Source organism: Homo sapiens, chromosome 6 (assembly GCF_000001405.40).
Source record: "Homo sapiens chromosome 6, GRCh38.p14 Primary Assembly".
Taxonomy (NCBI): domain Eukaryota; kingdom Metazoa; phylum Chordata; class Mammalia; order Primates; family Hominidae; genus Homo; species Homo sapiens.
In genome coordinates this window covers 155,415,140-155,441,113 of record NC_000006.12, presented here as the reverse complement: position 1 = coordinate 155,441,113, position 25,974 = coordinate 155,415,140, and the positions used below count along the sequence as shown (strand labels likewise).

General features: G+C 41.5%; 1 protein-coding gene across 1 annotated transcript in view, besides 3 other annotated features; it reads left to right on the top strand.

Moving 5' to 3' along the window:
• Positions 1–25,974, top strand: part of NOX3 (NADPH oxidase 3) — a 60,472-nt gene that overhangs the window by 14,726 nt on the left and 19,772 nt on the right. Inside the window, exons 6-10 of the mRNA NM_015718.3 lie at positions 977–1,158; positions 4,567–4,696; positions 10,179–10,271; positions 12,067–12,320; positions 18,258–18,420. Of these exons, the coding sequence (NP_056533.1) occupies positions 977–1,158; positions 4,567–4,696; positions 10,179–10,271; positions 12,067–12,320; positions 18,258–18,420 (822 nt within the window). The remainder of the gene's footprint in view (positions 1–976; positions 1,159–4,566; positions 4,697–10,178; positions 10,272–12,066; positions 12,321–18,257; positions 18,421–25,974) is intronic.
• Positions 12,620–13,577: an enhancer, noted in NCBI's record as "H3K27ac-H3K4me1 hESC enhancer chr6:155748671-155749628 (GRCh37/hg19 assembly coordinates)". NCBI's record gives its function as "activates a minimal SCP1, AML or CMV promoter by ChIP-STARR-seq in primed H9 embryonic stem cells {active_cell/tissue: H9 hESC(primed)}" and the evidence as "EXISTENCE:reporter gene assay evidence [ECO:0000049][PMID:30033119]".
• Positions 22,503–22,562: an enhancer, noted in NCBI's record as "active region_25309". NCBI's record gives its function as "activates an Ori minimal core promoter by ATAC-STARR-seq in GM12878 lymphoblastoid cells {active_cell/tissue: GM12878}" and the evidence as "EXISTENCE:reporter gene assay evidence [ECO:0000049][PMID:35858748]".
• Positions 22,663–22,812: an enhancer, noted in NCBI's record as "active region_25308". NCBI's record gives its function as "activates an Ori minimal core promoter by ATAC-STARR-seq in GM12878 lymphoblastoid cells {active_cell/tissue: GM12878}" and the evidence as "EXISTENCE:reporter gene assay evidence [ECO:0000049][PMID:35858748]".

Here is a 25,974-nt window from a genome sequence, read left to right as displayed (position 1 = left end):
CTATTCTAAAAGGCTATTTTACTGTCCCTTGCACTCACAGGTCAGAATTCTGGCCGTTTAGCCGTGTCCACCAGATAAGAATAGCTGTACCTTTATTGATCACCTAGGATTTACCAAGCCTTATTCCAGGCCCCCGGAGATGGCGTGAAAGAAATGCAAGTCATGGTCTTTCCAATTAAAAAGCAAGAGCAAGGAACAACTACCAAGGGAACTGAGTGTGCAGCTGCTTTATTAGGAACGCCCCAAGGGACCTCTCAAAAAAATGTGTTTATTAATGTTAAAATGCAATTAAGCATGGTGATCCACATAGTTATTTTGAAGATTAAAAACTTAAAACTCAGATTTATTTTGCAATATTTTATCTTAAAATGCTCTTTTCATGCTGCCCTAATTTCAATTCAACATAATCACTTTGGTTTTTTTTTTTTTTGTTTTTTCTTTTTTCCCATTTTGTTATTGTTGTTGTTGTTTTAGACACAGGGTCTCACTCTGTCTCCCAGGCTGGAATGCAGAGGCAGCATCACGGCTCATTGCAGCCTCACACTCCTGGGATCAAGTGATCCTCCCACCTCAGCCTACTGAGTAGCTGAGACTATAGGCTCAAACCACCATGCCCAGCTTTTTTTTTTTAATTTATTTATGTGGGTTTTTTTTCCAGTATAATAACTTTGATGTGAAATGATATATACAAAAATAAAAAAATGTGATTGATGAAATGGTATTTTACGAAATTTTAGCAAAGCAAGTAACCACCGTAAGCTGGTGGGAAGGGGGTGGAAGAGTAAGCTCGCTTCTTGAGTTGCACCTGCATCCTCGCTGAGGCTAACGTGCTTCTGAGTGAAACATTGTGAACGGCTCCCTGCTTGAAATCTCAAGTACTGGTCCTAAAAATGAAAAAAAAAAATATGCCAGGATATTTAATGTCAAGGTGTTTTTTTTTGTTTGTTTCTTTTTTTGTTGTTGTTGTTTTTTTTAGAACACAACCACTGAATTGCTAAGGACAATAGCAGGCGTCACCGGTCTGGTGATCTCTCTGGCTTTAGTCTTGATCATGACCTCGTCAACTGAGTTCATCAGACAGGCCTCCTATGAGTTGTTCTGGTACACACACCATGTTTTCATCGTCTTCTTTCTCAGCCTGGCCATCCATGGGACGGGGTAAGTCCATACTGCGCTCCTCTGCAAGGATTTTATCTCTGAGAGTCCCAAAATAATCTTAGAAAGTCCTTTAGATGAAGGAGCCGGCGTGCGGTGACTACAGGACTCGTATAATGTGTGAAAAGCACATTGACTGTGGCAAACGCTTTTTCAGTAACACTGAAAATAAGCTACATAGATGGTGAAGTATTATATTTATTTTTCCTCTCTGACTCTGTTAGTGAGTCTTGGCATGTTTATAAAATTCAGGAATCCTAATGAATGCAGGATGACAGTAGATCTATGTTTCATTCAGTACCTGTTCTGCCATCCAATTTATGTGAGATTACTCAGGATATATATTTTTGACACCAAGATTTCACTTCTGCTTAACCAAAACCGTCAACTAGGAAACCCACTGTTCGGGCAGGGACAATGTGTGGCATGGGCAGTCTGGTGTGGGGTCCAGAAGCAGCTCTGACACCAGTTATCAGAGTGAGCCCTTCAGGTCCTCTGAGCCTCAGTTTCCCCATTTGACCTCTAGGACCCCATTTTCCTCAGACATCCCGTAAAACACTGTTCTGGTATTCAATACCTGCCTGATATGGTTCATCTCTTCTTCAGGAAGCTAGCATAGCCCCTGATGTGTTCACCCTCAAATATAATGCTTTTCAATCCTTTAAATATTAATAAATGGCCCTGGACTAATACATCAATTGCTGTCTGTGAACTAGCTTGTCCCTTTAATTATTTCAAAAACTGATTGCCTTTTTTTCCATTTTACAATTTTCAAAGCACATTCATATACATGATCAACTTGACCCCCACAACAGTCCTGTCATGTAGAGAAGGTGCTGCTGTCCCCATTTCATAAAGAGGAAAAAGGTGTTCTGAGGGTTAAGTGATGCCCTCAAGGTCCCATGATGAATAAACAGCAGAGTCAGATCCAGGACGCCAGTCTTTAGACTATCAATCAGACCTTTACTCTGGTTTGCAAGCCCCTGAAGAACAAGTCTTCCATTTTAGGAATTAAACCTTCCTCAACACCAGCAAGAATGTGGCCAGCAATGTTGCTAATGCCCTTTTTGGCTTGCCAGCAGCAACTCCTCTGTTCCCGCACCACAGAATACCCTCTTCCACCCCTCATTCTCCCACCATTGCCACCGCTGAGCATGGAGGGTCCTGTCCCGGAGGTGGCCTCCGACTCTGCGCGGACCTGGAAGAGCAAGCGCATAGCTGCAGAGTGGCATGGCCTAGGAAGTCACACCTGCCTTGGTGACTCTGGGTCCCATGTAGGGCCCACAGACAACGCTTTGGGATTTGCCCTTCCACAAGTCAACAACGCCTCCAATCTCCCTCCTCACCCTTAATGCTCCTGTCTTCTCAGCCCCCTACTTCTGGAAGGGGGTGGCAGTTCTGCCGCTGCCACTGCCTGTGCCTAAGACTTCTCCCGTGGTCCCTCAGCTGGTGGACAGAAACACATTCTCCACGGAAGAAGTGCCCCTGAGGGTGCATTTTACCCTAAAAGACTGCCTGTGCCTCTGCTGAGCCTTAGTAACCGGGTCAGTCCACATTCACCCGTACTCTGCTGCCTGGCTAGAGGCTTTCCATTCTCTTTCAGCTAGAGGTCTCTGGGATTGGCTCTTCTGAATGTGGAAATCTCAACATTCCTTTTTGTACTTGGGATGGGCAAGGTGGATGGTGTGTAGACCCAGTGTGTTCCAACTCAGAGACTGTCAGTCCTCCCTTTCTACTGCTGATTCTGCCCCCGACGCCGGGGTTGTTAACCCCTGAAGCACATTTATGAGGCTATCTATAACTCAGGGGAATCTAGAAGCCCTATTCACAGACATGATGTGCTTACCCCCCTAAACATACGTCCCCCACATCCACACCCTGGTGCATTGTAGAAGCACAAGAGAATTTCAATGGGCAGTGTTTCGTTGGAGATATTTTTGATATCCAAATAACATCTCATAAGATGAAATTTTTAGTCATTTTAACCTAGTTGAAAAGCTTATTTTAGGATAAGGGCCTCATTTAATCTTCTCAGTGTGAAGTATTCTACAGCTACTGTTTACAGCGAAAGCAATTTGCAAATTCTACACAAAGTGCCAAGTGAAAGTAGGATTATTGGAATGTGTTAAGGCCCACTAATCTTCCTATTATGGGATGGCATAGATGAAGACATTTCAAACGTTTAAAATGTTTAAAAGATACAGCATTTGTGGAATGATATGAGGCTTCTTTTAGACACTATGGGGAATGCTGCCTACAGCCTGAGAATGAAAGTGTTAAAGTATCTGGAATCTTTCCTCTGACTCTCACTTACTATTCACCCTGCCTATGTCTGGGCATCATTTGTACATTGGAGATTTACAGATAGTTTTTCTCATCTAACTCAGAGGGATGTTATCAAGTTTGGATGGCTTCCATAAAACAGACTGGGACAAAAGCCAAGATGTCAGTTCTAGCTGACACCAGGCTGTTTTCCAAGGGCGTATTACTGCTCCTTCCTCCCATGCCCTGTGATATAACAGGGGCCACACCACTCCACAGGCTGTCCAGGACATAAGTCTGTGTGATGCTAAGGTTTCTCAGTCTAGAGTAGCATGTTTCTCAAAACAGATCAATGCATTTCATTCACAAACACCTAGGAACTGAACAATTCCCAGATTCCCTGACCTTGATGTCTTGGGCTTTGCTGTCTGTGCACCAAGAAGGAACCCTAGGAGCTTGTACCAAAGCTACTTGTCAAAGGTCAGTCAGGAGTGCACTCATGGCAAATATAATATAGCAGGATTATAGGACTCTTCGTCCAGTGCTCCGGTCATTAGGACTGCCTTCTCTTTCCATTCCTAAATGTATCAATACCGTCTTGAAGACACACTCCATTGTGACCTGTTTTGACTGAGTCAAACACTGGCTTGCTGGTGGTCACTAGGAGGAAAAATACCATTCTTCCGGTATTTTGACTCCTTCACTTGAAGACTTCTGAGCATTCAGAAACAACCCAAGGAGGGTAGAAGTTAAATAAATCTGCAAAAGAACCAAATAGTACAAAGTTAGCCAATTAGCCCAAATCAGCAATCAGAACAAGATGAAACCTAATTAAATTCAACAGTCTACAAAAGGATGTGTTCAAACAATTTCCCTTCATTATGAATTCTCTAATATAGACACTTTCAATTTAACACAGGATACCACAGAGGGGCCCTTCTTTTCTGGGATCTTCAAAGTTACTCGAAGCTTCTTAAATGCTTATTTTTAAAGAAGCTGGGGGAAATGAATGACAGCCCGAGTTTCAAGAACTGGAAGTGATATTTCAGAGCTCACTGTAGGATATATACCTGTGGGAGAACAAGACTGCTCAAAATCAGTTTGACGTTTTTTGCTTTTTGTTTTGTTTTGCTTTTCTTAAATAACAAGTCGGATTGTTCGAGGCCAAACCCAAGACAGTCTCTCTCTGCACAACATCACCTTCTGTAGAGACCGCTATGCAGAATGGCAGACAGTGGCCCAATGCCCCGTGCCTCAATTTTCTGGCAAGGAACCCTCGGTAAGAATGAACCCAGGAGCTTTTAAAAATAAATGTCACCACAGTTAAAATACAGAGTTTTTATAGGCTTGGAAAAAAGAAAGCACATTTCACCACTAGACAAAGCCAACTCTTTATTAAGTGTGCTAATGGAGAAATCAAGTTACAGATAATTTTTAAAGAGGTTTACTGCCAAAAGCACTATGTTCAGCTTTGAAATGTATTCTTCTACTTACCTTTAAATACTAGTGTCTGATATGGTGGGAATTCATAACAGCACAATGATGTCCCTGGAGGAGTCAGCCTTGGGCCTCACCACCCTTCTTTGTGCTCCCTGCATCCTTAGCCACCTGTCCTCTGCATAACTTCCATCCCAGTCTGAGAATTACTGGCACCCCTGCTCAAACCTAGGTCAATGAACAGCCAAATGAGGCTCAGGGCTTCTTTATAAGCTTGCCTTCTTTCTTTTGACAACTTCAAGGATCAAAAACTTAGTGTGTCAAACGCATTTACTTCTTGTTCTAATTAAGCTCCTGTAACTGAAATAATGATGATGTTAGCCAAGAAGATACTTAATTAATTTGTGTAGATGATAATGTCCACAGATCTGAAAAGTCAGATTTCCCGGGTAGGTGGTAACCATTACAGTTGGTAGCATAGGGAAAGAGAAGTAATATTCCTATCTGGCCTCTTCTGGTATCTTAGAACAGTGCAAATCTTTGGGACAACCAAGTGATGCTTGAAAGAAAATAAATGCATCTGGCAGATAAACAGTAGGAGGAAATAAGTGTCCAAAAATACATCACTTAAAACATGGAATAACAGGGTATAATAGTATACAAATGATGAAGATTTAGGAAATTAAGTCATCAACATATGAAGAATATAAGTGATTGCGTTGTTTAAAAAAAAAACCCTCAAATATATTAAATTAAGCACTGGATTTTAAGGGTGAAAGTACTAGGAGGAATGATTAAAACCGAGAGAACCGGAATAGATATGCCCATTAGACTGTGGTTCTTTTAATGGCCGGTATAGATTGTCTCTGTCTTAAACTCAACTCTCAGTAGCCACTATCCAACCTGCATATTAATGAGGAACATGAATACCTCTCTAAAATTTTCAGCTACAGCATCTCCATAAAAAAATCAATACTCCCCCACACCTCATGAATACAGACCAGGGCCTGCTCCCAGCAGCGTTTGCCGGCATTAATTATCATTAAGAGGGGGCCTTGCTCATCTCTCTCTAACTCTCCCCTGCTCCACTTCCTTGCACACCCAAACTCAGGGTGTCACTCTCTCCCATTATTTGTAATGGATCCTGATTCAAAGCGTGTGTGGGCTATGCAATTACCGCTTGGCTGAACTGTACGATATTCTCTCTGATGTCTTATAGACACTGAATCCGAAAGGCATCCCAAGGACAAGGAAGGGTTCCTGCGCTTCACTGCACCACACCTACTCGGTCTCTACAAAGCTCCATTTCTCTTCCCTTGCCTCTCTTAACTCAGGGCGTTTTCACGGTGCTCTGATCAATAGAATATGTATCATTTCTCCTTCAGCGGTTCACTGTTCCCAGTGTTAGGACAGATAACGTTTTGTACCTCACCTCGTGTAAATGGAACTGATTAAAGAAACCAACTATACCCGGCAGTCCCTCCTCCCCTACTTGTCTTACGTGGAAAATATCAGAGACCAGGTCTGATTTGACATCACCAAAATGAAGTGTGTGATGCCCCAAACTCTCTAAAATGGGTGGGGAAGATTATTTGTAAAAATATATGAAGACTGAGTGTCTTTGCCAATATCTCTTCTGGCCCATTTAGAAAGAACTGCATTCTTGCTCTCATTTCTGTAAACATCCAAAGCAATTCTCAAAAAGCTTTCTGGTTCATTCAAGCATAAGAGACCTAAGGATTCCTTTGCTCGGTCCAACCCCATCCTTCCCAGGGACGCTTCCTACATTTCCCTTACTCTGTTCATCTTCGCAGCTTGTCTCAGTCTCCCTTTCCAGCCCAAATGCACTGACAAATACAGGACTCCAGATTCCTGGTTTGCTGCTGATGCAATCCAGTCTCAAAAGATGCCTGGTCGTCCTAGGCCGGAGAAGCACTTTATGTCATTTAACCACAGCATCAACTCATCGTAACCATAAGGCTGACACTTTGTAATTACTAGGGAAAGCTGTTAGTGGTAAAGGAGAAAGCCCTGATGGAGGTAGAGTCAATTCAGCGAACTTCACCGAGTGCCTAAGTGCATTGCTTGGCAATGCAGTAGACAGGATTCAGACACGTGGGACCTGCCCCAGGAGATCTGATTGTCTAGAAAAAGAGGCTATTCATAAACACACACATAAAATAAAATCAAAGCCAGCATGTTCTTATTTTCTGGTAGGAATGAAAAACCAGGAGTGAAAGTGAAGGAAACAAGTTTCATTATTGCTGCTTTTGAATCAACATCGTTTTATTTCTATCATAAAATACTCACTGTAGCGTGACTTTTTGAGCATTTTTTGAAGAAGAAGAAAAGAAAGCCAAGAAGCCACGGAGTATTTTAGCATTAAGGAAACTTAGATACTAAATAGTTCTTCCCCATTATTTAATAGCTGAGGAAATTGAGGTCCAAGCAGTTTCAGTGTCTTACCCATGGTCACAAAAAGCATTCCCAGTAAAGCCACCTTAAAGAACCAGAGCCCCTAACTCTGTGGCCATGAACTTTCTCCTCCATTCACAGCATTCACTCTAAGTCTCTGGCTTCCATAACCGCCATTTTGTCAGCACTCTGCTGCTAGCTGCTACAAGTACATAGCCCCAACGTTCTACTTATCTCTGTGAATAAAGCCAAAGTGTTTAAGAGCTTGGAGGGAACTAAATAATAATTTTCTCCAGCTAGTTCCCATTTTACAAAACAGGACGTTATGAACATAATAAATCTCAAGATGTGCCTAGTGGCACAGAGTGAGGGGTGGTGGCCCCAAGGCCAGAATCCAGGTCTTCAGACACCCAGCCTAGCATCTACTTTGACACACGGCCCTCTTGCTCTGAATCAAGGCCTCCTTGTCTTGATTCTCTCTTGTCTGTCCCGGGTATCACTGCAAGGACAGTTTCCTAATATTCATCCCTGGCCATCTCTCCCTCAGGCCCTGACTTCCAGGGGCTCCAGGCACAACACAGGTAACGACACTGGCTACTTCCTCCCGGAGCAAAGGATATACTAAGATTGAGATGGAGTCGGGGATTAATAGCTTATATTCTCCTACCTGAACCATGGAAAGAAAAATAATCCATTACATTTTATCAACGTGGAAAATATCAGAGATCGTGTCTGATTTGACATCACCAAAATGAAGTTTGTGATGCCCCAAACTCTCTAAAATGGGTGGGGAAGATTATTTGTAAAAATATATGAAGACTGAGTGTCTTTGCCAGTATCTCTTTTAGCCCATTTAGAAAGAACTGCATTCTTGCTCTCATTTCTATAAACATCCAAAGCAATTCTCAAAAAGCTTTCTGGTTCATTCAAGCATAAGAGACCTAAGGATTCCTTTGCTCGGTCCAACCCCATCTTTCCCAGGGACGCTTCCTAGATTTCCCTTACTCTGTTCATCTTCACCACCTCATCCACAGCATAGGGGGACAAAAGGTTTATTCTCTTTGCTGTTCTGAACACATTGCTGGGCCCTACTGAGGCAGAAAAAATAAGTGGGTCAAATTGTGTTGCCTTGTGTTGCCCCCATAGGTCTAGCTTTTATGAGGCCAAGAGCCCCCCCAGGAAAAAAAGCAGAGAGGGTTGATGTAGGTGAGAAGAGGGACCATGCGAAGAGACCCAGAAATCAACAAAAAGCAATAGACAAAACGAGAAAGGTGACTCAAAGGAAGTAAAAATAATGCTAAAAGACTTGTGACCCATCAACAGAAGAGACAGAGCCAGATGACTGGTCAGGGAGCACTGAGTAATGAGTCAATCGGGGAGGGGTGGTGAATGTCTGAGTTCTGAAGACCGAGACATCCTTCCTGCCCCCACCCCCCGCCCCAGATACTATTCAAGGAGTAAGGTGGTGGATTTAGAAAACCTAGGAGGAAGTGTAGGGACATATGAAAAGGCTTGAGTTCTGGCCCTGGCTATCTCTGGTCCACCTCAGACTCTCCAGGCAACTCAGACCCATTCCCAGAATGTCAGGATTTTCCTTCTTTTAATTCTAAAAGAATTAGAGGATATTGAATGTTCCCAATACAAAGAAATAATCAGTGTTTGAGATGATGGATAGAGTAATTTACCCTGACCTTATCATGATACATTGTATGTATCAAAACATCACTATGTACCTCGTGAATATATACAATTATTATTTGTCTATTGAAAACAATAAAAATTTTAAAAAGAAAAAAAAGAATTAGAGTAGATTTCCAAGAGCATGCAGTATCCTAAAATTCAATGAGTTCATGAGTTTCTAATGTTTTGGAAAACAAGCCTCAGTATCAATTTAGCGCTGGACAGAAAGGACCACGATAATATGGCAATGCACATGGGAGGTAGCCTGGGGTCCTGGTAAGAACTCAGGCTGGGTAGTCAGGCATACCTGAGTTCACATCTCTACGAAACACCTTCGTCCCTTTATGACCTTGGACAATTTGGTTGATCTGACTGAGTCTTAACTCCTTCCTCTGTAAAATCAAGGTAATACATATGCCTCATGGGATTGTTCAGTACAAATAGAACTCTTCAAAAATTGTAACTTCCCATTTCTTCCCTTTCACTGAGGAAGACACCTTATGTTGTACAGAGCTCCTGATACAATAGCCTGCTGGTAAATTGATCATCAGTAATGCACATTATACTCATCAAAAGTTAACATAGCATCTGATTTGTTTAAAATGGACATTTTCACCATCACAATTCTCTAGACAATTATTGAGCCTTTTGCTGTGATTAGATAAACTTAAATTTAAGGTGCCAGGAAATTGACTTTATATTTTACTCCAAATAACTGTGTGTGTGTGTGTGTGTGTGTGTGTGTGTGTGTTTCTGTGTTTATTCAGGCAGACCCTGTAGTTGTGATGCATTCTTGGCCCAAAAAATTACTATTTGAGATTTTAAAATGTAATTTCTTATGTCCTGTGTTGGGTGAGTAATGTAGCTTTGACTTTGGCTTGAGTTTGGGAGCATTTACGACCCTATCATATGTAATATAAACATCAATCTGCTTTTTTATTTCTTTGCAAATTCAATTATTTCTAATTACATAAAGGCATCATTGATCAAGTAAGCATAAAAACCAATATAGAAGAGTTTAATCTCTTAAATAAGCTTGTAGACTTCAATAAATAATTGAATGTTATAGTATATAATACAAGGAGACATCTTTGTTGCTGATAACTGGCCCAAAGTTAAAGGAAAAATATCTAATCCCCATCATGTTGTATATTGATTTGGTTCAAATTGAAAATATTTGGATTCTATTTTCATTTCCTTTTTCTCTCTCTCTCTGCTACTCTCTTCAGGCTTGGAAATGGATTTTAGGCCCTGTGGTCTTGTATGCATGTGAAAGAATAATTAGGTTCTGGCGATTTCAACAAGAAGTTGTCATTACCAAGGTATGCATGTAGCTTTATGTCTGAATAAAAGCCTGAGTGTAGATGAAAATTTTTTATTAGCCCAAATTTTTAATTTGCCATTTTTATTGCAGAACTGTCTGTAATTTAGAGGCTCATCTTCTGTTCTAATAATTGCTTGTATCCTGAGCATCTTTTAGTGTGACTAATTTTGCTGAAGACAGGGATCAGGGCTCCAGACGGCACACAGAATTCTGATAAAGGTTTATTGTACAGCACTGGAATGATCTGCTTTGTCTTTATTTTGCTTTCTCTCTAGGGGGAAATGCAAGGGGAGTGAGTGTACTTTACATGGGTCATAGTGACTTGAAGGATAATCACTTCTTCACCACGTAAAGGCACAAATTTTGCAAACAAATAACATTTTCAAATCTATACACTCTCACTGGGGACTACCAAGCAGAGGAAAGGGAAACAGTCACCATAAGGTTCAGAGCAAGAGGGACCACTGTGGGGAAGAAAAATGGAGATGAAGGATGAAGATAGAGTTCTACCCTCATGAGCAGCATGCTCCTGGTAGCATTTTTCAGTCTTGCTCCCCATCCTCACATCTCTACGTCCTCACAATGTTTACCTCTTGCTGGAGGAAGACGGGAAGGGGTAGACCAAGACCAAAAAAATGCATGCCTAGGAGAGTGAAAAGGTGCCAAATACTCTCCCCCAGCTTTTGAAATGTCCAAGAAGAAACTCTCCGTTAGCCAAGCCTATCCCACTTTGCTAATACAATTTTAACAGAATCCTGTATCTCTGTAGCCGCCTTCATGAAAGCAGATGTATAGAAATTGCTTCCTATTTCTGCTTTAAGCTGTTTCTGTGTTGCTGTTTTTAAGTTAAGCACCAAAGGATGTCAGGCTGTATCAAAAGCTAGACTGTAAAACTTCTGGAAACCTACTCGAGCTGTTACGAGGGAGACCATTTAACAGCAATGTCAGAACAGATACCAGTAGGGAGAGGGAAAACTTAGAACCAATGATGAAAATGCTGTGAAATTCTCTTTTGAACGGAAAAATACTGTCACAGTATCTAGATGCTAGATTTTGTTCCCTTATACCTCTTGTCACAAAAGAAGACAGGAGGGCCTGGAGAGATTTTTCAGGAAACAAGATTGAAATCTAAGAAGGGAAATTAGCTCTTTCCCTCTGATAAGCAGTAAGTCATAAAGCTTTTATAAACACTACTAGAAACCTTGTCCAATGCTTCCCTACATCTAAAACTCAGAGCGGAGTCAGGACACAGGATGAGACTCAACCAAAAAGAAAACAAAACAAGAAAAGAGTTTGAAGTGAGTTTGAAGATTGTTTTTCACTTAGCCTGAAGAAATAAGAGGGTTAATTCACAAGACATTGAGAAAAGATGCAGATCATTGAAAAAGGTAACAAAATGTTCCTAGATGTTAAAAACACAGAGATAATGTGGTGACTTATTTTAATAACCCTAAGCATAATAATATGCAAGCTTCTACTGTCTTGGGTCTGGTTGACTGTGCTGTGGAAAGCCTGGCCATTGGACACATGGACTCACATGCTGGGCACCAATTGCACCTGGGTGCAGCTATTTCAAATGCCACCCTCTGAAGGAGAGGAGCATCATTCTTGCTGGAGTTGCAAACACAGATGTGAAAGCGATGGCACATATCTTTGGGAGCTAACAGCAGATGGGATATGTAAATTACACCTGAAACAAGCTGATCTAAAATTTTCAACACCTTTGATGGAATGAAAGGTGTTTCTTTATTATTTCGAGGACAAAGGCAAACAACTCTCTCACTCTCACATAGGTGGTAAGCCACCCCTCTGGAGTCCTGGAACTTCACATGAAAAAGCGTGGCTTTAAAATGGCGCCAGGGCAGTACATCTTGGTGCAGTGCCCAGCCATATCTTCGCTGGAGTGGCACCCCTTCACCCTTACCTCTGCCCCCCAGGAGGACTTTTTCAGCGTGCACATCCGGGCAGCAGGAGACTGGACAGCAGCGCTACTGGAGGCCTTTGGGGCAGAGGGACAGGCCCTCCAGGAGCCCTGGAGCCTGCCAAGGTTCGTGCCCATTTCTCTCATGTATAAATTGCAGTATTATAAAAAGTAAGGTATCTTAATGTATCAACATGCTACCTGATTCAGCAATATCTTTATTAAATGGTGAGTTTGAGACTGTGTCTAAATTTGAGAATGTGTGTAAAAAGTATAATTTTGTAGACTTCTAGGAGACACACATCTGTTCCTGTAAAAAAAAAAAAAAAAAAAGAAAAAAAGACTAATGTTCAGCCAAGAGAGGGTGATCCAGGAAGGAGGTTTCTCTTCCAGGTCCTAAAGCATCACCTGGTTACTTCTATGCAGCCTGCAATGAGTGAGACAACTCTGGGCATTTTTTTCTATCACAGTCTGAGTTTTTTTTATTGTATTTGTAAAGTCAGGTCTTCATAACAAGGATGCTATGTTTCTGTGTCCTCTTCTTATAAAGACCCAAGTCATATTGGATATAAGGGCCCATACCACTCCAGCATGACCTCATCTTAGCTTTATTCATTATGTCTGCAACCCTATTTCTAAATAAGGTCACATCCTAAGTACTGAGGTTAGGACTTTAACATATCAATGGGGGACACACTCAACCCACAGCATCACTCTATTCAGAAAAGTCTGGGCTCACGCCTGTTATCCGAGCACTTTGGGAAGCCAAGGCGGGCGGATCACTTGAGGTCAGGAGTTTGAGGCCAGCCTGGCCAACATGGCAAAACCCCATCTCTACTAAAAATACAAAAATTAGCCGGGTGTGGTGGCACATGCCTGTAATCCCAGCTATCTGGGTGGCTGAGGCAGGAGAATTGCTTGAACCTGGGAGGCAGAGGTTGCAGTGAGCCGAGATCGCGCCACTGCACTCCAGCCTGGGTGACAGAGTGAGACCTTGTTTCAAAAAAGAAGAAGGAGGAGGAGGAGGAGGAAAGAAAAAGAAAAAGCCTGGGCACATAACAGAAGTCCCAAAGTAAATGACCACTCCTCAGCTCTGTTCAGTAAACAATGGCTTCGGGTCAATTCCCACTGTTCATACAGGGTTACCCAAAAGCATGCAAAGCACACATTTGGGGCTCTGGAAGAACAGGGACACCAAAAAAAATGAGAAAAACATTTTTGGAAGAATTTCATATTTGAAAAGAAGCATCAAGAGATTCCTACTTCTGCCATCCTTGGAGGGTATCAGGAACTACCAAGAAGCAGCCACTGTCATGAGCACTGTGGTAGGGAGCTCGGTAGAGACACTTCAAATGGAAGTTCCTGAGGGCAGGACATTGTCTTTCCTCCTCGGAATCTCCAGTGCCTACAACAGTGTCTGACATGCAGTGCGTACAGAGGAAAGATTTGACAAAAGAATTAATGAAGCCCTGGGGCCAATATGGATTCTTTATCTCATTTAGTTTGACAAATATTTATTGGTGACAAACAAGGTACCACAATAAATTTGAGACACAAAATGTAGTCAGCTTATTGTCCTGCTTTCCCTGTTTTCGTAGGCTACTGAGCTGTAACTGCACCCTGGGCTTGGTTGTATTTAGTGGGTAGGAAGAGTCACAGGCCTCCTTTCAGACACTGGTCCTGAAGAATGGTATGCCAAGCCAAGTAGAAGCATCATCTGCTCAAGCCAGAGCCCCAAATCAGATGAGAACACATGACTATTTTCTTTTTTATAATGGAAAGGAAGCAATGTAATAAAATTTTAAGGTTCAGAGTGCAGAGCAAATGCCTAAAATCAAAAATAAAAGTAGATGCACTGCACAGCACCCCCACCCTCACCAACCCCCCCAGCACACACACACACACACACACACACACACACACACACACACACACGCCACAGTGTCTAACTGCTTTCTCGGTCCCTGCTCTCCCCTTGGCATCGCCAAGGCAAAAGTTTTCATCCTTTTTGCTAACTGGCTTCTGCCCTGTGTGTATACACTTATCTGTTCTATCAACCACCCTTCCCCTTCACAAACCAGATAGCATTTCAACCAGTCCCCCAAGAAGAACTCAGTACTGGTTACTCAGTAGCTGACATGCTTTCTGCCTATGGAGTGCATCGCCAGCTGCAAGTTCCAACAGGATCCCCAGGGCCTCCCTGGGCTCATCTGTTCCACCTCCTGCTCCCTCATGGGCTTAGCTCTTCCAGCTTTCTTGTTGTTCACACACACTGAGAATGTAGTCCTCAGTGCCTTTGCCATTGCTGTTCCCTCCACCTGGAATGCTGTTCCCCACATCTCTGCTGGGCAGCTCCCTCTCTTCCTTCAGGTCTCTGTTCAAATGTCCCCTTCTAGTGAGGCCTTTGCTTCCCACTGCACATGAAACAACCCCCAGCAGTCACTCAATCGCCATGATGCCACATGCTGACTTTATTTTTCTTTATAGTACATACCACCACCTGGCATGTTAAATATTTATATTTGCTTGATTGTTTACTGTCTATCTCTCCACACTAGAATGGAAGCTCTATGAGAAAAGGGCCTCTGTTTGCTTCACTTTACCATCCACAGGGCCTAGAACAGGCCCTGACTGTCAGTCACTCAGTAAGTCATTATGGGCTCGATAAAAATGAGTTGTCATAAACAGAGCTGCTTCCCTCCATTCACTAATTTGTTTCGCCCTCTGCCTCTGTATGTGTGTAGGCATATGTATTAGTGGCAAAGCCTTCCAAAAAACTAGAATTTGTTTAAATCTTCAACATACAAAGAATCAGGATGTTATTGGACTTCCTTGGATGATTTTACAGTTCCCCACTGTTTTAATTTTGAATTAAATCATATTGGGGAGAGCACTATATCTTTTTACTGCTTTGGATCCCAGACAAATTTAATCCAGCCCCTGGAATTTGTGAGTGAGATGCCCAGGAGGGGAAGCAAGCCCAAAAAAAGAACAGGGAAACCTCTTCCTCTAAACCCAAGAAAAAGGGAGAGAATGTGAGCTCTTTCAAAAGACTAGACCTTCTGAAGGAAAACAGAGGAATTTCTCAGTTGATGGAGTTTCCAGCTATCCTTTGCCCAGAGCTGGGGCCCACACTGTGAGAGGAGCTGGGTTCAAAGCCCAACTTTGTGTGTGATCTTGGAGAATGTATGTAACACACTGCCTCAGTTTCCTCATCTGTACAATGAAGATGACAATAATAGTACTCATGGCTTTGTTTAGGATCACACATAACAGTCCATAAAAACACTTAACATAATACTTAGCACACGGTAAGTGCTCAAAGAGTTAGCTACTATTATTATTAACAACATAAGAATGGTCACCTACCACAGAAATAGCAATGGAAGTGTTTGTTAGAGGAGTAAATGCAGTCAGTTCAGAGAGCTGAGACTGGAACTTAATGGGGTAGGGTGGGGTGCTGCTGAACTACCCAGCAAGGACTCACAGGACAGGGATGCAGGCAAGACAAATCATTTTCTGAGCCTCATTATTAGAAACGCTGTGTCTAAATCAAGGCAGGGATAGCTGCATAAACGTGATAAACAAGAATTTGTGCAAATGAAGCTGATTCAGATTGTTAAAAATCTGGAGAAATGGAGAAATTTGGGCCCAAAAAAGAACAACTGGGATGTCATGATAGCTATGTTCAACTATTTAAAGGCCTGAGATGCCAAAAAGGAAAAAGATCTGGAATGTGCTTCTCAGAAAGGCAAAAGATGAGAGTTGTCAGAAGACAGATTTCAGTAAGACATGAGAACAAATTGTCTAATATTTAGAATTGCCCCTAAGTGGAACAAGGTGCCCCGCAGTTTAACATAGGTATATGAGCATCTCTCAGGAATGTGGCAGGAGGATTACTGTATTAGCAGGGAACTTAGACCAAATATTTTCTCCTGTAGCTTTGAGTTTCAATTCTAAAGATGTAGAAATTTGTTTATTGTATATTTCTGTGGATTAATTTACAAAATTCTTCTTGGGATTTAATTGACATCTTTTTAAATCAGTGTCAAATAAATTCCCAATATGACTGATTATTTTTTAAAAATGAACAGTAAGACATTTGAATCTATGGACAGGTTTTCTTTCTCTCTTTCTCTCAATTTCCTTTATGTAATTATTTATGGAATAATCTACAGTGGGCTAAGATACTAACCATTTCTGGTTAATGACCTTTTATTTTTATTCTTCCATTTCCATATATCAATATGTAATAAAGCCTTATTAATTAAGATTAACTTGAGGAGAGTTCATTTGAATTATTAGGAAGTCTGGCATATAGAATAATTTAAAATAAACCCAATTGAACTTTCATGAACACATAGTAAAGCTCAAATGGGCCAACCTCCGGTGTCTTCAACAGACACCCCTTAGGGAATGGTTATGAATAACTCAGAAACCTTTTAATTAGCATATCTTTGTTCATATGTAAATGTGTGCTTTTGGAATAGTTGAGGTTATTTAATACATTCTGCTGACTGAAATATTTTAAACATTCCCTTTACAATTTATTCAACCAATTGTTATTGAACAACTTCATGTCAGGGAGTGCTGGGATTACAGCAGTGAGCAAAGACAGCCCTGACTCCTACTTTCCTAGACCTCACAGCTCTACACAGAAATCAATCAGATCACGCATACACACCAATAAATTGTAAAATTACAGCTGTGATGAGGACTATAGAGGAGGGAAACATGGAGCTATAAATTATATAAGAGGGGATTTAACCTAATCTGAGGGGTTCAAGAAGGCTTCCACAGGAAAGGAATGATTGGGATAAGACCTACCAGAGAAATAACTATTAACCAACTAAGGAGAGAGGGAAGGAACTGGAGAAGATGCCAGGTGCAGTGGCTCACGCCTGTAATCCCAGCACTTTGGGAGGCCGAGGTGAGCGGATCATGAGGTCAAGAGATCAAGACCATCCTGGCCAAAATGGTCAAACCTCGTCTCTATGAAAAATACAAAAAAATTAGCTGGGCGTGGTGGCACGTGCCTACAGTCCCAGCTACTTGGGAGGCTGAGTCAGAAGAGTCGCTTGAACCCAGGAGGCAAAGGTTGCAGAGAGCGGAGATCGCATCACTGCACTCCAGCCTGGTGACAGAGCAAGACTCCATCTCAAAAAAAAAAAAAAAAGAAAAAGAAAAAGAAAAGAACAGAAACTGGAGAAGATTATTCCAAGGGAAAATGGTATCGCATGCAAAGGCCGTGTGGCAGTAGGGAGTACTGTGTATTTAATATTTTAAGAATATTAATATCTCACCAGTGTGAGAACCAGTGATGAGTGATGGAAAAGAACTCAGGGACCAGTCTGCATAGGACCATGCTAAGGACCCTCTTATTTATTCAATGAATATACTTTATCCTTATTAAGAAAAATTTGCTAAGCAAAGAAAAATACCAGTGCTACCCAAGGCCTAATTACCACAGATTTTGAGTCAGTATAATCTAAAATAATGGGTTTTAGAAGTTCCACATAACTGACAAATGACTTCAAAATTATATTTATTCCAAATGAATAGCTTCCATTAGACTAAAATTACATAAACCTACTAAGATGTGTGACCAAATGTAAACAGGGGAGAATGACATTAGGAAGAGGAAATAGAAGCCTGCTAAGCTTCCTTGATGCTTCCAGATTTTTCCCTCTGATGGCAGCTGGGGTGGAAAGGGAAATAGCTCTTCCAGCAGCCTCAATGATACTTGGAGCCAAAACAAGCTTCTAAGCGCTGTAAGGAGAGCATGCCACATGGACGAGGCCTGAGCTATAGCGAGAGATGTCAGGCTTTGTCCTTCCATGAACAGTGCCTGGGCCAGGACAACCTCGTTGTCTCCCAATAAGGCAGAGCTGGAAATCCTCATGCTAACCCCAGGCTCTCCAAATAGGGCATTTTCAGGCACAGAGTCAACCTCTGCATGCACTGGCAAACACGTCCTGTAAAAAGCACCAGCTCCGGATGGTTCTGGGTTCACGAGCAAGGTGTTCTGAAGGTCAAATAGGCTGCATTCCTCTATGATTCCAGGCTGGCAGTGGACGGGCCCTTTGGAACTGCCCTGACAGATGTATTTCACTACCCAGTGTGTGTGTGCGTTGCCGCGGGGATCGGAGTCACTCCCTTCGCTGCTCTTCTGAAATCTATATGGTACAAATGCAGTGAGGCACAGACCCCACTGAAGCTGAGCAAGGTACGGAAAAATCATTAGTTCACCCTTCCATGGATTAAAAGGTTCAATGTCCTTATATCTATCATCTGCCGATTCTTGGGGAGGATTTTAATTAACTATGAGGGATAAACTCAAGGATCCTTAACTATACTTATGTTCTTAAAAATCTCCACTCAGTATTACATTTATGAGTAGGGTTATGTCTAATCTTGTTAAAGATGACAAGACATAAATTTTATTGCTTCATTGCCATTACAGGACATGTAATTGCTCATCTCAGTAAAATATGGACAGGCTGCAAATGGCTATGTGACTGGGTGGCAGTTCGCAATATTAAGAGGCAACCTCTCCTTAGTCTCTTTAGCTTCAGACTGTGGTTGCAAGTGTACAATTCGATGTCCTCCTCTCGTGGACTCAGTCCTAACAAGAAGCCACAATTGGGATTTATTGGCCGGCTTGCTGTGGGGTGGCCATCCCGCTCTGAATCTCCCTTTTGTCATTTCCTGTATGTTTTACAACTAGATGCCTCTAGAATTTCTTTCCGTCCTTTGTCGTATCTAGACACTCCATCCGATACTTGGACCCTCTTAGGACCAGCAGCAGGCACTAGAGCAATGGTAGGCAAAGAGCCCTGATAACCCAAAGCCGTATGAATGCAGGAGGAGTGAGGATGGCAGACGAGCTTGGTGCTGGGCCGTCCTGCATATCTTCTCTGCTTAACCCTTTGTCCACAGTGTCCTCATCTATCAAAGGGAGACGCTTGACTTAACCACCAGGTCTCAATGTGTAAACCATGGGACATCTGTCACCTGACATGATCCACTAGAGAGAATTCCGTAGTCAAAGGAACTTAAGCAACGCTCCTGCAACATCCCACTCTAGAAGACATCATCCACTAGCCATTAAATAAGTTCTGCGGGGGTGGGGCGCAGTAGCTCATGCCTGTAACCCCAGCACTTTGGGAGATTGAAGTGGGAGGATCACTTGAGGCCAGGAGTTTGACGCTAGACCAGCCCGGGCCGCATAGAGAGACATCATCTCTGCAAGAAAATTAAATATTAGGGAGTTCAAAGCAGTGAGCCGTGATCGCACCACTGCACTCCAGCCTGGGCAACAGAGCGAGACTCTGTCTCTAAAAAAAGTTCCGCAGAAAAGATCCTCATTCAGTTTTGTTTCATCTATCTTTCCCAAGCTTATTTAGCTACAGAACCTTTCCTCACCTAACACCTATCAAGAATTCGTATTCTGTGAAGCATCCCAGGCAATGAGGGCTAGAAGATCTCTAAACTCGGGTCTCTGCCAACTAAGAAACAGCAGTTAACTATTTCATGAGTTTCCAAGTGACAGGTCCTTGACATACATTTTCTCATTTGAATTTTTTAATCTCCCCAACAACCTTATAAAGTAAGTAACACAAGGCCTGTTTTCCAGGTAAGGAACCTGAAGCTTGGAGAGATTAAATTGATTTTCCTGAAAAGACATGGGTAATCAAAGGCAGAATCAGGATTCAAACTTAGGTTCATCTGGCTCTTTCCATGACAAAACCAACACATGGTAGACGTGACCCCCAGCTCCTCCTGCAACCCTGGAGCAATATTTTAGGAAGACGGTGGGATTCCTGCTCATAGAATCGGCACCTGAATTTTGCTGTCATCAAAGAACATGCCTGATTCCACCCTGACTGAAATACTGCCTGCAGTTCACCTCTCTGAGCTGAGTTTCCTGATCCACATAACGGAGAAATAAGAATCCATATCCAACAGGGAGTTTTAATGCTAAATAAGACAAATAATATGGAAATATTACCATAGAAATGTGTATACAGAAATATAGATGATTATCTAAATGCTGATTGTATCTACCAAAGGTATAAATAGGTTACCAGTACTGCTATTACTAATGGCCTAGATTTATCAAGCACTGACTACCTAACAGGAAGGAAACTGGGCATTTTACATGCACTATCTCATGCCATCTTTTCGTCATACTTATCATTTTTATTCCCATTTTACAGATGAGAAAACTAAGGCCTGATCACAAAGCTAATAGAAATGACAGTCATTTTACTAAATGCTCATAATAGCTCATTCAGATAGGTAATATTCTCAATACTGATGAGGACCCTGACACACAGAGAGCTAAATAATACTAGAACTAGAGTTTGAATCTAGATCCTTCTGGCACCAAAGCTCATCTTCTTTCCTCTACGCCATAATATATTTAACAAAGCAAGCAAAACAGTGACTGGGATATTTGGACCTCACAGCAATGCTTTGTTTTGGTTCGTGATGATTTTTCAGCCACCCTAAGTTCTTCCTTCCCTCTTGCTGCCTACCAAGTAAATCCCACTCAGAGAGGTGGCTCACTGCTTCATGGTTTCCACGACACTAAAAGTCACTTCATGCTTCACAGGAAGATGGTGGTGGATAGCGTGTCTCATTTTCATTCACTCACTAATCCAACTAATATTTCAAGTCCTGCTCAGAGACATGCAAAGTCTCATTGTCATTACACCCGACTCACAATCACCTCCCCCTTCTCTTAACCTCCACCACTCCTTTGCTGCCCTACTGTTATGTCACATATCTTTCCTGTATTAAGATTCGTGAAATAATCTTATTTTCTCTAACAGACTGTGAGTTCCTTGAACATAGCTTCTCTGGATATCTTCATACATATATATATATACACATACAACATGTGATAACTATATATATAGTAAAAATATTGAATAAATCAATGAGTGAATAAATGTCTACATGTCCAAAAAGAATAAACAATGGCTTCTGTACACAATTTTCTTTAAAATTTAAGGGTATTAAGGTTTTGTTTATGTAACCAAAAAAATTCTTCAATGATTTTTACTAAATTCCAATTATTTTACTAGGAATATAGAGGAAAAATCTTATAAGAACCCCCAAAAATTTTAAAATTCATACAGGAGCCTACAAAATCTTAATTTTGCCTCCTTTCTCAGCATTCCATTGTCATTCCTGGGCTCTGCTTGTGGCGTTTCTCAAGGCTTTCAGCACTGCAGTCACCACAAAACCATAAAATAGGGACATTGATCTCTATTCCAAGAAACAGAAACAGTAGAGTAAAAAATATAAAAGCAATGTTTTCATCGCTTATAAAAATGTGAGGGACTATTTGGACACGACTCAGGTGAAAATAAGGGCAGAAATAATGTCATATGGGAGAAAGGAAGCTAAAGTGTGGAATCATAAAATAACTTAAAGGTCCTAATCTCCTAGCTTTGCATAGGACCATGAAAGTCAGTATCTGCACCTCGAGCGGAGATGATTTGTCCAAAGTCACCCAGCTTGTTCACCACTGAGTCAGGACCTGAGCATGTGTTTCTGATTTCTGCTTCAAAGTTCTTTCATGGAAGAAGTGAGGTTTTCATGCTATTGAAAGTTTGGGCTGAAAATTACAGTTCAGATCCAATTCCTTAAGCGTCTGCAGGCATGAGAACAGGTTTAGGAAGTTTCTCTCTTTTAAAGCAACTTTGTGTTGGTTTGAGTATAGCTACTATTAGGCTTATGTAACTAATATTTGTCAGGGCTACCTACATGCTTTTGAGATATAAAGACTACTCCTTCCACTAAACTGTCAGAGTCTATATAATTTTTGAAGTGCCACAGAGCAAAGCAGTACATATTTATCTAACGGTGTCTTCACAATTTTAAGTCTGGACTATAGTTTTCAGATTGTCCTCTTTTGTAATAAGGAAGGAAAGGACAACTCGCATAGGCGTTGAGAGCCAGAATTTTAAGCTTAAATGGTTAACTGCGATTAGGTGGGATTTTTTTTTCCTCCATGTGTAAAAACACTGGTTGGCATAAGGCATACATTTTTACACACAAAACTCAAGTTGCAAGTCTATAGGAAAAAATGTGCACCAAAGTTTTCTCAATTGTCACCGTTGCAAACTAGAACTTCTTTACCCTTCTCCTCTGTTGCATTATTCTAGAAAACTTCTAAGTAAAATGCAGGAGCACAACCAATAAGGCGCCTGCCACTTCCTCAGTGGGAAGCGTCATAAGTAGTACTTTCCATTTGAAGCTGATGTCTTAAAATATCTTTGTTTCTAAGTACTTTTGTTTTGAAAGATCTGGGAGGGGGCGGGGAGTGGAAGGGGAGGGGGAAGAATGGGCAGGAGGGGATTTCCCAAGAAGGCCAAATAACAAGAAGTATAATGATGGCTTGCTGTGATGAAAATGGAAAAAAGTTGTAATACATGAAAGAAATATTTTCAACGCAGAAGTAAGAGCCAAACTTCACTGAGTTGAAGGCAGCTGAGAACGCTGTGCCCCTGTGGGATGAGGGAAGGCTGAGGGTGGTTGAGAATTCTCTGTGATGCAATATGGAGGAAGCTGAATGCTGGGGGTGAAAAATGCCCTCTAGCAATAAAGTCCTCCACCTCCTGCCTAACGGGTATGATTAATTCTACATCACACTCAATTTGTGAAAAGAGCTCTTGAAAAAAAATTAGGACGGTTTGCTTGTGCAAACTGTCAAAATGATGAATGAAATAGGTGTGTATGAATGGGGAGGGAGGGGGAGGATTGCTGACATAAATAGATTGGCTTACACATTTTAGTTCTCCCTAATATCACAGCTGTGCAGTCAGGACTGAGACAACTGCCAACTGCAAGATGCGGTTCGTTTTCTTAACTGCATATGTAGTCTTCAGACTACGATACAACAGATTATACAAGAACTGAGATAATCTCATTTCTTCATAAATTGTCTTCCTTCATCAGCTCCATAATATATAACCATGATAATGGGTATTTATAGTGTGTCCCATGCAAAATGGCCTTTGGGTTCTTAACCTAATATAATAAACAGATAATTCAAATAAAAAGACAGCACGGGCCAGTGGGAACAAGGGAAAGAGGCCAAAAAAGACAAAAAATCCATACTCTACTAAAATATATTAATAAAACAAAGGAGGGCCTGCTCTCTTTTCTAGTGAATGAAAAATGCATTTAATTTAATCTGTTTACTTTGAGAAATTATTTACTTTCACTTTCCCTCACACTGGAGCTCTGACTACTCCTGGAACTGATCATCTCTACTAATCACCAAGATTCCTGCCATCAGTTGGCCTCTTTAGGAGGGGCCATTCATGCTTCTCCTAAAGAAATGTATGCTTCTTGTCTTTCCTCGGAGGGCCTCAAAAGGCCTCAGTACCCCATCAGCCCTCACCATTGCTCTGTGCGGAAGTGACCAGTATTAATATGTTTAATATCTTGGTTTATTAACCACAGATTGCGTGACTACAGTCTTCTTGCAAAAGAGTCCAATGAAATACACAAACATTTTAAAATCTCCCTTCACCTCCCTCCCCAAACTAAACACCTCCCCAACTTTGCTCCCTAAGAAACTCACCATTAAACAGTTGAATATGTCTCATTCCATTCCTTTTCCATGCATTTATATGCATATACCTATACACATTCATGCATAAATAGGGGTGTGTGTGTGTAGAAGGCAGAGGAAGTGTAATTTGTTTTGTTTTTCATTAAAGCATAACTTCGGGCACCGTCAGTGTCAATACCTGATGATCTATTTCATTTTGTTTGGTGTCTTTAGAGTATTCCATAGTGTGGATAGGCCACAATTTATGGAATCATTCTGCTATTAAATAATGTTTCAGGCCAGGTGTGGTGGCTCACACCTGCAATCCCAGCATTTTGGGAGGTCGAGGTGGGCGGAACACCTGAGGCCAGGAGTTGGAGACCAGCCTGACCAACATGGCAAAACCCCATCTCTACTAAAAATACAAAAATTAGCCGGGCGTGGTGTCAGGTGCCTGTAATCCCAGCTACTCGGGAGGCTGAGGCATAAGAATTGCTTGAACCTGGGAGGTGGAGGTTGCAGTGAACTGAGATTGCACCACTGCACTCCAGCCTGGAGGATAGCGCGAGACTCCGTCTCAAAAAAAAAAAAAAAAAAAAAAAAGAATGTTTCAGATGTTTCAGTTGTCCAACAAGGATTATTAACTGTAATTAGACCAAACGGAGGCCCAAAAGAGATCAGTCCTCAGCCACAGGGCGAAGTAGCAATATAGTCATGAAATAGTTAACATTGAGGATAATCACATTCAGAAAATGTCTTAAGGATGAAAAATTATTGACAAAGCCTGGTCTTGGCCTTATAATGGTTCACCAGAAAAACAATTTTATAACTGTATCACTTTAAACTAGAACTTTTACACATTAGGTAGGCTTATCATTAAGAAGAAATATTTCTTCTTTTATTTCTTCTTATTTGCTATTGTATTAATCCAGGATTCCCTTAACAAAAACAAAATAAAAACCAGGACAATAAGAGTGATCATTTATTGAGGAGGTAATATATTTTCTAAACACCAGTCTTTATCTTTTCACAGAGAGAAATTCTCCTTTTGGAAAATGATCCTGATTCCCCTCTATGCAGAGCTTCTGTCATCCTGCTGGTTTCAAGCTTCTGTCTGTTCTGTTCTTTCTTTTGCACAGTGTGGGGTACAGAGGCGTGCTGCCCAGCAGGAGGCAGGTGGCACTGCAAGCCACTGCCCTTCTCCTTGAGGAGGCGATGGTCAAGGTGGGCCCCTGGCTCCCTGTAAAACGCCTCTAGGTGAGTTTAGCACACACCGAGCCTGGTGAGGGGCTTCCCCTTCATGGAGCACATCTTCATGATGAATGCTGAGATTCTGCTTCTGACACTGGTGCTAGAGGTCAAGTTTGGCTTCCCTTCTCAGTGACCAGGAGTGACCAGTGGGAACACATGCCAAGCAAGGCGCATGTCCCTCTTTGCTCTATAATATACTGTCTTCATTCTTCATTCTCTAAGCTCCTCCAAATGACAAACAAGGATAGTAACAATAGCAGCTAACATCTTCTGAGCACTTACTGTGTCTGCCAGACGTTGCATTAAATGCTTCAGTAAAACATATCCTTTCATCCTCACAATAACCTCAGGAGCTATTGTTCTGTGTTTATTGCCATTTTACATACGCAGTAATCTAGGTTGGAGTTAAATAACTTTTGCCCAGTTGCACAAGTTATTTGCAACTTCTACCTGCATGGTGAAGCCAGCAGCAGTCTACCACAGCAGATGGGCTTCATAGGCTCACAACGCTGAGCTGTTGTACCATGCTACACTATATCCTAAACCTGTATTCTTGTGTACACTTTCCTTGTTTAGAGGGGTTCTGGGCCATAAATAAATACATAGGTAAATAATTTTTTTTCTGTTTCATTCTCTGGAAATTTATTTTGGATATAAAGACATACAGATTGCATTTGTGAAAGTGCCCTCTGCCTGTGTTCATGGATATCTATTCAAGATACGGCACAAGTTTTGGAGATGTAATCGCCTGAAAGCATCCAACTTTGATTAGAGAGTCTGAGCTCTCATAGTAACACAGATTGGTAGTGCTTCTCAATTCATTTTCTGAAACTGTTTATCAAAATTTAGCACAGTTCCATTTCCTACTGGCCCCAGACCTCTTTGACCTGGTCCCTATGTGCTGCTGAAGAATTCTTAAAGAGAAGCCTTGGCTTGGGAAAACATGAAAATGAGAAG